At 52.9% G+C, this 13,447-nt stretch overlaps 1 protein-coding gene across 4 annotated transcripts in view, besides 5 other annotated features; it reads left to right on the top strand.

Moving 5' to 3' along the window:
- The window catches only part of SH3GL1 (SH3 domain containing GRB2 like 1, endophilin A2), a 40,178-nt gene that overhangs the window by 3,117 nt on the left and 23,614 nt on the right, over nucleotides 1–13,447 (top strand). The window contains exon 2 of one of the 4 annotated variants that reach the window (XM_047439222.1): nucleotides 7,218–7,379. The exons of the other annotated variants lie outside the window; for them this stretch is intronic. The gene's annotated coding sequence lies outside the window, so the exon portion shown is untranslated. The remainder of the gene's footprint in view (nucleotides 1–7,217; nucleotides 7,380–13,447) is intronic. 4 annotated transcript variants of the gene reach the window in all.
- Nucleotides 1,927–2,437: an enhancer, noted in NCBI's record as "H3K4me1 hESC enhancer chr19:4394991-4395501 (GRCh37/hg19 assembly coordinates)". NCBI's record gives its function as "activates a minimal SCP1, AML or CMV promoter by ChIP-STARR-seq in primed H9 embryonic stem cells {active_cell/tissue: H9 hESC(primed)}" and the evidence as "EXISTENCE:reporter gene assay evidence [ECO:0000049][PMID:30033119]".
- Nucleotides 6,204–6,812: an enhancer, noted in NCBI's record as "NANOG-H3K27ac-H3K4me1 hESC enhancer chr19:4390616-4391224 (GRCh37/hg19 assembly coordinates)". NCBI's record gives its function as "activates a minimal SCP1, AML or CMV promoter by ChIP-STARR-seq in naive H9 embryonic stem cells {active_cell/tissue: H9 hESC(naive)}" and the evidence as "EXISTENCE:reporter gene assay evidence [ECO:0000049][PMID:30033119]".
- Nucleotides 6,813–7,419: an enhancer, noted in NCBI's record as "NANOG-H3K27ac-H3K4me1 hESC enhancer chr19:4390009-4390615 (GRCh37/hg19 assembly coordinates)". NCBI's record gives its function as "activates a minimal SCP1, AML or CMV promoter by ChIP-STARR-seq in naive H9 embryonic stem cells {active_cell/tissue: H9 hESC(naive)}" and the evidence as "EXISTENCE:reporter gene assay evidence [ECO:0000049][PMID:30033119]".
- Nucleotides 7,420–8,027: an enhancer, noted in NCBI's record as "H3K27ac-H3K4me1 hESC enhancer chr19:4389401-4390008 (GRCh37/hg19 assembly coordinates)". NCBI's record gives its function as "activates a minimal SCP1, AML or CMV promoter by ChIP-STARR-seq in naive H9 embryonic stem cells {active_cell/tissue: H9 hESC(naive)}" and the evidence as "EXISTENCE:reporter gene assay evidence [ECO:0000049][PMID:30033119]".
- Nucleotides 10,446–10,946: an enhancer, noted in NCBI's record as "H3K27ac hESC enhancer chr19:4386482-4386982 (GRCh37/hg19 assembly coordinates)". NCBI's record gives its function as "activates a minimal SCP1, AML or CMV promoter by ChIP-STARR-seq in primed H9 embryonic stem cells {active_cell/tissue: H9 hESC(primed)}" and the evidence as "EXISTENCE:reporter gene assay evidence [ECO:0000049][PMID:30033119]".

The raw sequence follows: 13,447 nt of genomic DNA, 5'->3' as shown, positions 1-13,447 counted from the left end.
CAGGACTTTGTCTCTCTCAAGGGAAGCAGGATGACCTGCGTTCAGATCTGTGAATGGCGCCTTGAAGCCTGGAAAGGACAGTGTGGTGTTAGCTGGGCTTAGGATTGCCTATTTCCACATCCCGAGGCCTAGTCCCAAAGCACAATGGCCACAGCCCACCCTCGGGGCTGTCGTCTTGGCCTCCTGGTCAATTCTGTCCTGAGTCGTGCTCTTAGAAGTCACCCTGGCTGCGTTCCATGCTCTTCTGTGATCATTGCCATGGTTCCCTCTGACATCTCAGCTGTTATCTGGACGTATCCGACTATTTGTGTCTCTTTTTTTGTTTTTAGTCTAATAACAACTCTTTCACCCTCTGCTGTGCCTGTTGGAAAGTGACATCTCTCGGGATCTCTCATTACGTAGTGATACAAACATTTATTGAGTTCTCACCATGTGAGCAGGCAGTATGCTTTATACCAGTAGGTCTCAGCTGGTCTTGCTTATCCGGTCTAAGGGTAAAAAACATTCCCCCTTTTACACAAAAGGATTAGGGGACATTTATCTTCCTGTAAAACAGGGCCAGTTCTGTCCTCCAGGGGACATTGACAATGTCTGGGACCTTTTTGGTTGTCACAGCTTGGTGCGGTGCTGCTGGCTACTAGTAGGTAGACGATATTGCTGGACATCCTCCGGTGCCCAGGGCAGCATCTCCCCACTGCCCCCAAGAATTACCTGGCCCCAAATGTCAATAGTACCAAAATTTGAGAAACCCTGCTTGAAGATTTGGAAAAAAAATGAGGATAATTATACCAAAACAAAGGAACAAAAAAATCCCCACTGAGCCATTCTTACGATTTTCCTAGTTTGGCCAGGTGTGGTGGCTCACGCCTTTAATCCCAGCAGTTTGGGAAGCACTCCAGCCTGGTGGATGAGAGCGAGACTTCGTCTCAAAAAAAAAAAAAGTAAAATATAAAATAAAACAAAGATTTTCCTAGTTTGCTAAACACAGATAGCCACATGTGTAGTTTGTTTTTGTTTGTTTGTTTGTTTTTGAGACGGAGCTTCTCTCTTGTTGCCCAGGCTGGAGTACAATGGCACGATCTCGGCTCACTGCAACCTCCGCCTCCTCTGTTCAAGCAATTCTCCTGCCTCAGCCTCCCGAGTAGCTGCGATTACAGGCACCCACCACCATGCCCCGCTAATTTTTTTGTATTTTTAGTAGAGACGGGGTTTCACCATGTTGGCCAGGCTGGTCTCGAACTCTTGACCTCGGGTGATCTACCTGCCTCAGTCTCCCAAAGTGCTGAGATTACAGGCATGAGCCATGGCACCCCGCCCCACAGGTAGATATTTACATAAAACTCAGCATCCAGACCCTAAGGTCGAGCCCACCCTCAAGTCTTTAGGAAAATTCGAGTGTCTTTCAGTATCTGGGCTTCTTTTTTAGGGGGGAGCTAGATCCACCATAAACATTTTATGTGTATATGTACACCGTTTATCATATACATATTGTGACAACTGTATATATATATATATATTTTGAGACAGAGTCTTGCTCTGTCACCCAGGCTGGAGTGCAGTGGCGCAATCTTGGCTTACTGAGACCAACCTCCGCCTCCCGGGTTCAAGCGATTCTCTTGCCTCAGCCTCCTGAGTAGCTGGGATTACAGGTGCGCCACCACACCCGGCTAATTTTTTTTGTATTTTTAGTAGAGACAGGGTTTCACCATGTTGGTCAGGCTGGTGTTGAACTCCTGACCTCATGATCTGCCCGCCTCAGCCTCCCAAAGTGCTGGGATTACAGGTGTGAGCCACCGTGCCTGGCCTAAACAACTTGTATGTATACATACACTGTTTATCATATATACGTATTGTGGCAACCATATGTATGAATAAGCCTTCAAAAGGTGAGCACCTGTATTTCCTGGTAATTGACAATGTCAGTTTTGTGTGATGTAGTCTCTATGGAATTTCCCGTACATATGATGACAGAAACAAAGACTGAAACATGGTTCACAGAGAAACACAGAACATACATGACTCTCAGAATAACCATGTCTGCTGCTGTGTAGGGAACTCTTTGAGAGGAAACACTTTCACTGCTGGCCTCAAATGCCACTATCCACTTAGGTTCTTCAGTGTGAACCTTTAATTCAAAAGTACCTTCCAGCTGATCACGAGGAACCTTTATCGCTTGCACCTGAGGAGGTCAGGGCTGCAGGGAGCCCTGATTGTAGCACTGCACTCCAGCCTGGGAGACAGAGCCAGACCCTGTCTCCAAAAAAAAACACCATTTACAGTGACTTAGAAAAGGGACAGTTTCCAGTGCTACACACAATGGTTCCATACACAGCTTAAAGGTTTCCAGTTCTTTGCTGGAACTTGATTTAATAGTTGAGAGCCACAGGCATCGGGGCTCCTGAAGGAGGGGCACGCGCCCATCAGCGCTGTCAGCCGGGGATGGCGCAGACCCCTTCCTTGGCTTGGCAATGTCGGAGACAGTTGTTATCGCAACTTTGGGAGAGAATGCTCATGGCATCGAGGGGATAGGGGCCAGGGATGGTTGCCAAGCATCCTACAATGCATAGGACAGCTTCCCCCCGCTGCAAAGGAAGAATTCTCCAGCCCTACGTCAGTAGAGTTGAGCTTAAGAAACCCTGCTTTAAACCAGGCTCTAGACTTCCAAGGGTTCTTACGGTGTCCTTTCTAAATTGATCAACAGAGGCCGGGAGGATGCGGGAGAGAGTGCTGGAAAAGATAAACTTACTTTCTAACAGGCGAGGCTGTGTTGTTGGTTCTGAGTTTCTGATCTCTCGTTGGTGATAATGGTAAGAACCTTAGTGGGTTCCAGGCTAGTTCATCTCCCTGCAAAACCTTTTGGGAACTTGTTCAAAATTGGTTTGGGCTTGAGTGGGCAGTTTGTGAGTTTTTACTTCTTGTCATGAACTGGCCATAGACTGGTTGAGGGCCTGAGCTGGGGAAAGTTGAATCATCTGGAAGAAAGCAGTAAAAAGCCGTCCGTCATGGTCCCATCTCCCTGGTTCCCTCCTTTCTGCCTGTGTGACACCCACTCCCTCAAGAGCCTCCTGGCATCCGTGCGCAGCTAGAACTGGGGGACTAAGGAGGGTGAAAGAATGCCGCTAGCGAGAGCTGCTCTCAGAAGTTCCCTTGGTGTGCTGGGGGTTTGGGTGACATTATTTCCAGGCTTAAGCTGCTAACTGGCTTCCTGATAAATCTTGTGGCCGGGCTGTGTGAGATTGAGAGTGTAACTAGGGGTAGAGCTGGCAGCTGCCTGGAATGCTGGCTTTTTTTTTTTTTTTTTTTTGCCTGAAAGGAGGGAGAGGGTTTGAACATTTGAATGGAAAGATTGCTTCAGACTGAGCTAGGAGGGACATTCACAAGCGTCACCTCCCATAGCTTTGAAATCTGCCTGATGCTCCTTAGGCCCTGGGTTTGTGCCTAGGAGAAAAGGAGAGGCCAGGGGGGTTGGGGGAGGACTGTCTGCCGGGGGATCCTGGGCCCCACCTATTTGGGGGCTGTAGGTCAGAGTAAGCAGTGTCTGGGACATGGCTGGTGTTTCAGAATGTCAACGATACTGCTTGTTCTGACCTATTTTTATTTTTATTTATTTTTAAATTTTAATATTAATTTTTTGTTTGTTTGAGACAGAGTCTAGCTCTGTCGCCCAGGCTGGAGTGCAGTGGCGCGATCTCTGCTCACTGCAACCTCTGCCTCCCGGGTTCAAGCAATTCTTCTGCCTCAGCCTCCTGAGTAGCTGGGATTACAGGCACATACCACCACGCCCAGCTCATTTTTGTATTTTTAGTAGAGACGGGGTTTCACATGTTGGTCAGGCTGGTTTCGAACTCCTGACCTCGTGATCCACCTGCCTTGGCCTCCCAAAGTGCTGGGATTACAGGAGTGAGCCACTGTGCCTCGCCTATTTTTATTTATTTTTTAATTTTTTTGTAGAGACTGAGTCTCACTATGTTGCCTAGGCTGGAGGCTCCTTAAACCCCACCACTCCAGGTCTTGAACTCCTGGACTCAAGTGATCTTGTCTCCTCATTCTCTCAAAGTGCTGGGATTACAGGCGTGAGCCTCTGTGCTTGGCCCTGACCTTTTTTTAGTTTATTTATGATGGTGTTTTTTTTTGTTTGTTTGTTTTGTTATTTTTGTTTTTTTTGTTTTTGAGACGGAGTCTCACACCATTGCCCAGGCTGGAATGCAGTGGCGCAATCTCACCTCACTGCAACCTCCGCCTCCTGGGTTCAAGCAATTCTCCTGCCTCAGCCTCCCAAGTAGCTGGGATTACAGGCATGTGCCACCACGCCCAGCTGATTTTTGTATCTTTAGTAGAGATGAGGTTTTGCTGTGTTGACCAGGCTGGTCTCGAACTCCTGACCTCAGGTGGTGATCCTCCTGCCTCAGCCTCTCAAAGGGCTGGGATTGCAGGTGTGAGCTACCACGCCCGGGTTGTTATGATTTTTTAAAATTTTACGTATTTGAGATGCAGTCTTGTTCTGTCCCCACTCCCAAGGTGGTGTGCAGTGGCACGATCTTGTCTCACTGCAACCTCTGCTGCCCAGTTCAAGCGATTCTCCTGCCCCAGCCTCCTGAGTAGCTGGGATTACAGGTGCCTGCCACCATGCCCAGCTAATTTTTGTATTTTTAGTAGAAACGGGGTTTCGCCTTGTTGGCCAGGCTGGTTTTGAACTCCTCAGGTGATCCGCCCGCCTTGGCCTCCCATTGTGCTGGGATTACAGGCCTGAGCCACGTGCCCGGCCCTGACCTCTTTTTTAAAACCTCACTTTGTGGGGCCACTCTTGGTTTTCCTACCAAAGTGCTTGACTTGTTAAGCCATAAACATGGAATGATCTTTTGTGTGTGTGTGTGTGTGTGTGTGTGTGTGTGTGTGTGTGTGTGTGTGTGTGACGGAGTCTTGCTCTGTCCCAGGCTGGAGTGCAGCGGGCCGATCTCAGGTCACTGCAACCTCCGCTTCCTGGGTCCAAGTAATTCTCCTGCCTCAGCCTCCTGAGTAGCTGGGAATACAGGCGTGCGCCACCACAGCTGGCCAATTTTTGTATTTTTAGTGGACACAGGGTTTCATCATGTTGGCCAGGCTGTTGTTGAACTCCTGACCTAGTGATCTCCCTGCCTTGCCTCCCAAAGTGCTGGGATTACAGGCGTGAGCCAGTGGGAATAATCTTAAGATACAAAAATATGGGGTTCATAACCCCTTCACCTTGGCACAGATAAAAGTGTATACCCTTGTGCTGGGAGTGACAGGTAGTTGAGAGGCACTTTTGTGTGGGCTGGTAAGGGCCGGCGTTGGTGATTCAGAGGCTGTGCCCGGGACAAGGCCGGTGAGTCCAGCAGCTGCAGGCTGACCTCCGGAAGCCCCCTCTCCCTCGGGGAGGTGTTGGCAACAGATGTAGGAAGGGACTTTGCTTTGTGATGTCCACGTATGATGGGAATGGAGTTAAGTCCGTTCTTGCAGGAAGCTCTGGTGACTGAATCCAGGAACGTGCGGCATGTACTGGTGTGTGCCTTGAGGCATTGGAGCCGGCATTGGAGCCGGCGGCGTGGACCCTGGGCCACCCCAGGACAGGCAGGGCTCACTCTGTTTCTGGCTTGCAGACGGGTGGAACCAGCAGCTGTGTGGAGGCCTGAACTGTGTGCCAGCTGGGCTGTGCAGACACAGAAGTTTGAGACTGCCTTTCCCCAAAGGAAGCTAGAGGCTCCTTACACCCCACGGCTCCCCGGGCCTGTCTGTGAAACCTGGCTCACCTGGCCCCCTTCACAGGGTTGGCTGTTGGTGGTCACTGGGCACTTTGTAACCAAGCAGCATCCTACGTTTTCCCATTCTTAACAAACCAGGACCAAGGGGTCATCAGACTCCGATTTCTGCCACCCGTGACTGCTGTACAGTAGGTCCCAGAACAAGTCAAGGGCTGAAAGTTCGGCTAAAAGTTTGTCTCTGACTCAGAATCCCGTGTTCACCAAAGACCAGTTGGGGCTCCGTGGGTGCTGATCGCCCTGCTTATCTGGGTGTGTGTTAAAGCCCAGCTCTGCAGTACTTAATTATATTCCAGGTGCCCCTAATAACAGCCTGTGAGTGCGAGATGAGGTGTCTCACCTTATGCCGCTCAGTTGAAGAAATTGGGGGCTGTCACATTTTGACACCCCAGACCTATCAAGCACACAGAGAACATGACACTGCTCACCCCACCCCTGGCCACCCAGGGGTGGCCGCTGTCACGTGCGCAGTGCACCTGAGGTCTGAGCTGGCAGCTGGGCCCCTCAGATGTCTGTGTGTGTGTCTGTTGCATTTTTTCCTCAAAGGAGAAACCTGCAGGTTGAGGCCCGTCCCGCTCAGACCTGCCTGTGTCTCTGTGTCCAGTGGACTTTAATCCAGGGGCCTAGGGTACAGCCAAGCCTTCACTGCTGCCTTAGCCCTTTTCCTCCTCCGTGATTGTTTCCAGTGTTTTGCAACTGATCTGATCTGGGGAAACGTCGTGTTTAATTTGGAGCATGCTGCCAACGTCCCCAGTAGGATTTCGGAGGCAGCCGCAGGTTTCGGCGCTGCCCGGGGCAGAGCTTAGAGGAGAAGCTCAGAGCGGCCTCCATGTTTCTCTTTTCCAAGCCCCTGAGGTCTTTAAGTGCCGGGAGGGTTGGAAGGGGAAGCATTGCCCCGGGGTGGGGGTGGGGTAGGTGTCAGGAGCTCAACAGGCTCTGGAGGCATCTCAGCAGGACCTGAGCTCTCCAACTCTAATGGCTTTTTAATGTGTGAGCTGAAGTGTCAGGGGGCGGTCTCTTCTGGTTCTTTTTCGAAGCTGTCCCTGGAAAGCGGATGAAAGAATGTGGTGGCCAGGGCTGCAGCGGGTTTCCCTCTCTCCCTTCTCTCCCCTCCTCTCCCTATCTCTCCCCCCTCTTCTTCCTCTCTTTCTGTTCTCACTCTTCCCTTGTCTTTCTCTCTGTCTCTCCCTTCTTTTGCCCTCTCACCTCTTCTTCCTCTCTCTCTGTCTGTCCTCTCCACACCTTCTTCCTGTCTGTCTGCCTGCCTGTCTCTCTCTTTCTCTATCTCTCGCCTTTTGCAGGGCTGGATTTGGCAAGCACTTTTCCTGAGCACTGCAGCTTGGTGCGTTTCTGCTCATTTCCTGTTAAGCAGTACCCAGGGCTCCCTGAACTCAGGCTCTGGGAGGACGGCCCTGTCTTCCTTTTCCTCTCCACTCCTAGAAAAACCTGCTGACCAGGCCCTGAGAGCAGGGTCACGGGGAGACCTCCTCACCACAGCAGGAAGATAGACGGACAGTTTCCTCCATTGGACCTGACTCAGCAGCGGCCCACTGACCGCCTGGGAGGGGGCTCCCGCCTAGCGGGCCGCAGTTCCACACCTGGGTAAGGGGACGAAGCACCCAGCAGGGGTCATGCCGCGTGTGACACAGTCTGTAGGGGCGGTGGTCATGGCAGATACTCAGAATCCAGATGGCATCAGGCCTGCGAGGGCATGGGGTGAGTGGGCCCACTCCCCTCCCTGGGCCGGGAACATGCGTCTCCTCTGCCCTGGCCCCCAAGTGGACAGCTCCCCACATGGTTTCATGCCAATGGGAGTGATTATTCCATTGCCGTTGCCACTGGAATATGAGCCCATTGCCGCCGGAGCCAGGCATTTGTGCTCATTGCTGCATCCCCAGTGTTTGGTTTACTGGCTGGCCTGCCCCAGGGAGCCGGTAAATATCACATGGAAGGACGGATGGGCCACCGTGGCCCCCACCCTACAGCGGATGGCCTCGTGTCGAGTTTGTGTGAGCACGCCCTAGAGGAAGAGAAGCAGGTCTCCACCTGGCCCAGGGTACAGTTCAAGCTCTCAGCCGAATTTCGGGAGCTTCTGGAGCCCCTGCCTTGGTCCCAGGTTTAAATGCTACTCTTCCCCTGCATGGGAACTCACACAGTCAGTCCCTCCCGCCCACCCTGTGTGGGGCCCTGTACTCTCCTGCCTCCTGTCCATGTCACCGGCCTCTCCTACCTCCCAACCTCATTTTCTCTCCACTTCCTGTCTGCCCTATAACGAACGCGTTTCTATCTCCCCTTATCCTTGGCATCTTCCGGGGATGCATGTGGGAACTGAGTTCTCAGCCCTTGGAGCTTCTGGCCTCGGGGTCCCCCACCCAGATGCCACACGCTGGTGTTCGTGTGAGGTGCTCTCCTCCCATCGGACGGCAGCTCCTGAGGCTGGGCTGTGCTCGGGCATGTGTGATGGGCCATGTTCTGCTGGGCACTGGCCTGCTGATGAGGTTGCCAGAGACGCCCCCTACAGAGGCTGAGCTAGAGGGCTCCTTCTCAGAGTGAGGGGCTGTCCTCCACAGGGCCCCTGTGGTGTCCCTGGTGGTGGCTCAACAGCAGCCCCTGGTCCGCTGGCCAGGCATCTGACCAGGCCGTGTCACAGCACCAGGGAGGCAGGTGGCTGACAAGGCCTCGGAGAACTCGGTTGGGAACAGGTCCGACTGCTCTGAAAAAATCAACAGCTCAGAGAGTGTCTCCTGTGGTTTAGGGTGTGTGTCCAGCTCCAGGGCTGCAGCTGACAGTCACCTGAACTTGGCCAGGTCCGAGGGCCTGACTGTGTCACAGGCAGTCTCTGACCCAGAGCCTGCCTGAGCAGGGTCCCTAAGAAGCCAAGCCCAGACGCCTGCTTCCCCCCTTGATCGAGGCCAGGCTGAAATGCACCTGCTGCTGCCCGGCTGGGCCGGTCTGCTCAGAGTTGGTGGTTCCCTGGCTTGAATGCTTCCCCAAACTAAACCACTCCCAGCCTCCAGAAACTGGCTCCCCAGCCCTGTTTGCCAAGATTCTTAGGACTTTTGCCATGGCTGGGCCTGGCCACCCATCCTGCAGCTCTCTCCCTGGCCTCTGTGCCCAGTTGCTGCAGTGACTTCTCTCTGATTGCCACAATAGGCCCTGCGGCTCCTCCCACTTCTCCCTGTGGATGGCCCCTTCTGTCTCTGAGCCTGCTGTCTCCTGTGCTTCCGCTGCCCCTCTCTGTACCTGTCTTCTAAGCCTGCGTCCCCTGTCCCAGCGTTCAAATGTGACACTCCCACGACTCGCAGACCACAGCAGGCAGCTGGCCAGCGGTGATGCCCTGAAATGACAGCCAGGGTTCATCGCCTGTCCTTCAGCTTGAACCCATTAGCTGATTCGGCCTCTTTCCTCTTAAATTACTTTTATTTTATCACTTTTAAAATGTATTTTAAAGGGGATCGTGGTATTTTTCCTTGCTCAATAACAGTAACTGGAATAGGCCGGACACGATGGCTCACACCTGTAATCCCAGCACTTTGGGAGGCCGAGGCAGGTGGATCACAAGGTCAGGAGTTTGAGACTAGACTGGCCAACATGGTGAAACCCCATCTCTACTAAAAATACAAAAATTAGCTGGGCGTGGGTGGCGCATGGCTGTAATCCCAGCTACTCAGGAGGCTGAGGCGGGAGAATCGCTTGAACTCAGGAGGCAGAGGTTGCAGTGAGCTGAGATCGCGCCAGTGCACTCCAGCCTGGCGACAGAGCGAGACTCTGTCTCAAAAAAACAAAAACAAAAACAAACAAAATTCGTCGGGCGTAGTAATGCATATCTGTAATCCCCGCTACTCGGGAGGCTGAGGCAGGCGAATCGCTGGAACCTGCGAGGTGAAGGTTGCCTTGAGCCAAGATAGCACCACTGCACTCTGCCTCAAAAACAAAACAACACAAAAAACCCCGCACAGTAAGTGGAATAACAAATACAACAGCAGCAAAACAATAGAGTGAAATTTTGCTGGATACCCCACCCCTGAGCCTGAGGTGTGCTCTCTTGTGAAAGAGCTGTTCGGGCTGGACGTGGTGATTCTTGCCTGTAATCCCAGCACTTAGGGAGGCTGAGGCAGGATTGCTTTAGCCCAGTTGTTCAAGCCCATTTGGGCAACACAATGAAACCCCGTCTGTACAAAAAATTAAATTAGCCAGTCATAGCGGTGCACACCTGTAGCCCAGCTACTTGGTAGGCTGAGGTGGGAGGATCACTTAAGTCCAGGAGTTTGAGGCTGCGGTGAGCTATCATCATGCCGCTGCCCTCCAGCCTGGGCAACAGAGCAAGACCCTGCCTAAAAAAAACAAAAACAAAGCCTGTACTATAGTAGTGCCCACCTGGAAGTTCCTTCTTGCCAGAATAAGAAATACAGAAGAGGGGCCAGGCGCGGTGGCTCATGCCTGTAATCCCAGCACTTTGGGAGGGCGAGGCGGGCAGATCACGAGGTCAGGAGATCGAGACCATCCTGGCTAACACGGTGAAACCGTGTCTCTGCTAAAAATACAAAGAATTAACTGGATGTGGTGGCGGGCACCTGTAGTCCCAGCTACTCGGGAGGCTGAGCCAGGAGTATGGCGTGAACCCGGGAGGCAGAGCTTGCAGTGAGCCAAGATTGCACCACTGCACTCCAGCCTGGGCGACAGAGCAAGACTCCATCTCAAAAGAAAAAGAAAAAGAAATACAGAAGGGGAATTGCAGCGGAGTTGTGTTCTGACCACGTGATTCACGTGCCTTATGCTTGTGTTAGCTGCCACGCTGTGGGAAATGCCTCACGGAAGGCACGTTGCCTTTTCCCTTGGGGCCCACCGCCATGCCCTCTGCAGTCTCGCCTCTTAGGATCGGGGGATCCTGCACACTGGGATTTGGGCTCAGGAAAGAGGGCTGATGGGTTGGTAACAGCCAGGTCCTGAGTGCCTGGGGAAAGGCATGGAAGCTGGAGACCCAGCAGTCAGCATTCTTAAGGAGTTCCCAAACATTGTTGGGCACGGTGGCTCGTGCCTGTAATCCCAGCTCTGAGGGAGGCAGAGGCAGGAGGAGCGCTTGAGCCCGGGAGTTTGAGATCTGCCTGGGCAGTATAGCAAGACCCTGTTCTCCAAAAAAAAAAAAAAAAAAGTGAAAAAGAAATAAAAAAAAAAAAGAGTTCCCAAACATCACCCAAGCAGTAATGCAAATATCTTCCTCCAGGACACCCCCATCCAGCCCTGCGTGCTGGAAGCAGAACTGCTGACTGATTATTTTTCTGCTGTCATTTCGGGACTTTGCCCCAGCACTAAGCAGAGACCCTTATTCTCAGGAAGCCCCCTGCGGAAGGAAGCTCTGGGAACTTTCTGCCCGCCCTCGCCGCAATCCCTTGCCACCCGCCTCTGTGGGATGAGGCCCCACAGCTGACTCAGGCAGGCATCCATCAGCCTAACAGCCTCACTCATCAGAGTCCCGATTGTTTGAAACAGATGGGCAGCCCTGGCCCTTCAAGGCCAGCCTTTGTGGCTCAGAAGAGGGCAGCCCAGGGACCTGGTTGGAATTTCCCCATCTCCCAACCTTCACCCACCCTGGCATAAGATCATCTTCATCCTCTCCTGAGGCCTCTGATGGTTTTCTCTAAGGTTGAGAATCCCTGCTATTATTTTAGGAAGGAAGGACAACCCCCAGAACTGCAGAGTATCTTGCTTCTTGCTGACTCTGGTCAAGTCAGCGTTCCACCCACGAGGAGCCTTGGAGCTGTCGGACCCCTGGCTGAGCGTAGTGTGGGTGTCTGGGAGGTATGTGCTGCCCACTGCAGAGGCTGGCTCGGAGGCCGCTGGAATGCTGCGCTGTGCCCTAGCTTTTACATTTTTATTTCATACTTGCAGAATCCTGTGTATTTTTCCAGTGTTCTCCCACTCCCAGCCTTCCCACAGCAGCCTCCCCGGCTAGCCCCAGAGCACTCTGTGCCTGTCAGAAGAAGGCACCAGTGGGCCCCTCTGTTGAGTGGGGTCCCTGTGCCACCTCTAGACTGGCTGAGGGTTCCATAGTGGGCAGCTGCACAGCCAGGGAGGGTCTTTGGGGCCCGGAAGGAAAGAGTGCTGCTGGGAGGGAGGGCAGGAGAAAGACCTTTGGTCTGCCTGCTGCAATCACGTTTCTGGAGCCCAGGAGTCCACTCGGCTGTCAGAGGAGCCGGTAGGGGGTCGCCCTCCTTCCAGGAGAGGTTGCCTCTTACTGCATTCAGAACACATTCCCTGGGCCACACGCTGGTCGGCACCAGTATGTGGCACAGGGCACCTCCCTTGTTCAGGCACCTCATGAAGGTTGTATCATAAAGGGTTTCAGATCCAGAAAGGCAGCTAAGAATGACCAGCAGATGAGCAGGTGCCCCCACCCCATCCCAAGGAAGCCAGAGCAGGGCCGGCGTGCCTTCACTGCGCACGTTCACTGCGCCAAAACACGCAGGGTTGTGTGGCGGTCCACACTGCCTGTCAACAGGATCACGTGCTTTCTTGCTTGGTTTCTCGTACCCTAGTTTTTTTTTTTTTTTTTGAGATGGAGTCTCTCGTCACCCAGGCTGGAGTGCAATGGCGCAATCTCAGCTCACTGCAACCTCCCGCTCCCAGGCTCAAGCAATTCTCCTGCCTCAGCCTCCCGAGTAGCTGGGATTACAGACACCAACCACCACACCCGGATAATTTTCATATTTTTAGTAGGGACAAGGTTTCACCATGTTGGCCAGGCTAGTCTCGAACTCCTGAGCTCCAGCAATCTGCCTGCTTTGGCCTCCCAGAGTGCTGGGATTACAGGCGTAAGCCACCGCACCTGCTCACCCTACTTTTAGGCTGAGCACTGCTTGTGAGTACCGTTCACACTGACACACGAGGCTCCACTCGCATCCGCAGCTGCGTGGCTTTCCCTCGTGGTTATTCCACAGTGTGTCTATCCGTTCTCCAGCCAGTGGACATTTAGAGTCTCCAAGTTTCTGCATTTTCACACAGCCTGGCAGTGAGCGGTCCCCTGTGGCATGTATCTGAGAGCTTCTCCAGTGCGGTACCTTGCTTAATATGATCATCTGCTGTAGTGCTTGATGACTATGCCCATGAATAGCCACTGCACTCCAGCCTAGGCAATATAGCGAGACCCTGCCTTCAAAAAAAGAAAAATAGCCACATAGGTTTTCAGCAGTCCTAGCCTGGAAAAAAACAACCTGTTCAATTTGCATGACCGAAAGTCCTGGACCGGTGGCTAGCAATATCGTGTGTTGCGCACTCGTAAAGTGTGTTATTTCAACCCTCCTCCACCGTGCTGTATGTGCCTGGGGGCCTTGGCCAGGAAGCCAAGTGGGCGGGGAGGAGGCTCCCAGCTCAGGGTTAGCTCTGTGTGGTCCGGAGCGGGATGAACTGGGGGGCTCCTGCGCCATCAGCTCTGAGGACTCTGCTTCTGCTGGGCATCCTCCTCACGGATGTAACATCCCCTCCAGCCTGTAAATTCCTCTGGAGCCTGCGTTTTCAGTTTTGTTGTGTACAGTGAGGCCGCGCTCACAGAAAGCACCTAGCACCCAGCCTTGTCGCAGAGGGCAGCTTGGGCCAGGACTCACGTGCTCCCTGTGCAAATTCACCTACTTGATAAGATTGATTTGTAGCCCCAAATCATTCCTTTTGCAGTC

This window comes from Homo sapiens, chromosome 19, assembly GCF_000001405.40.
Source record: "Homo sapiens chromosome 19, GRCh38.p14 Primary Assembly".
In the NCBI taxonomy this organism is placed as follows: Eukaryota; Metazoa; Chordata; class Mammalia; order Primates; family Hominidae; genus Homo; species Homo sapiens.
This window is presented reverse-complemented; position numbering and strand designations above follow the sequence as displayed.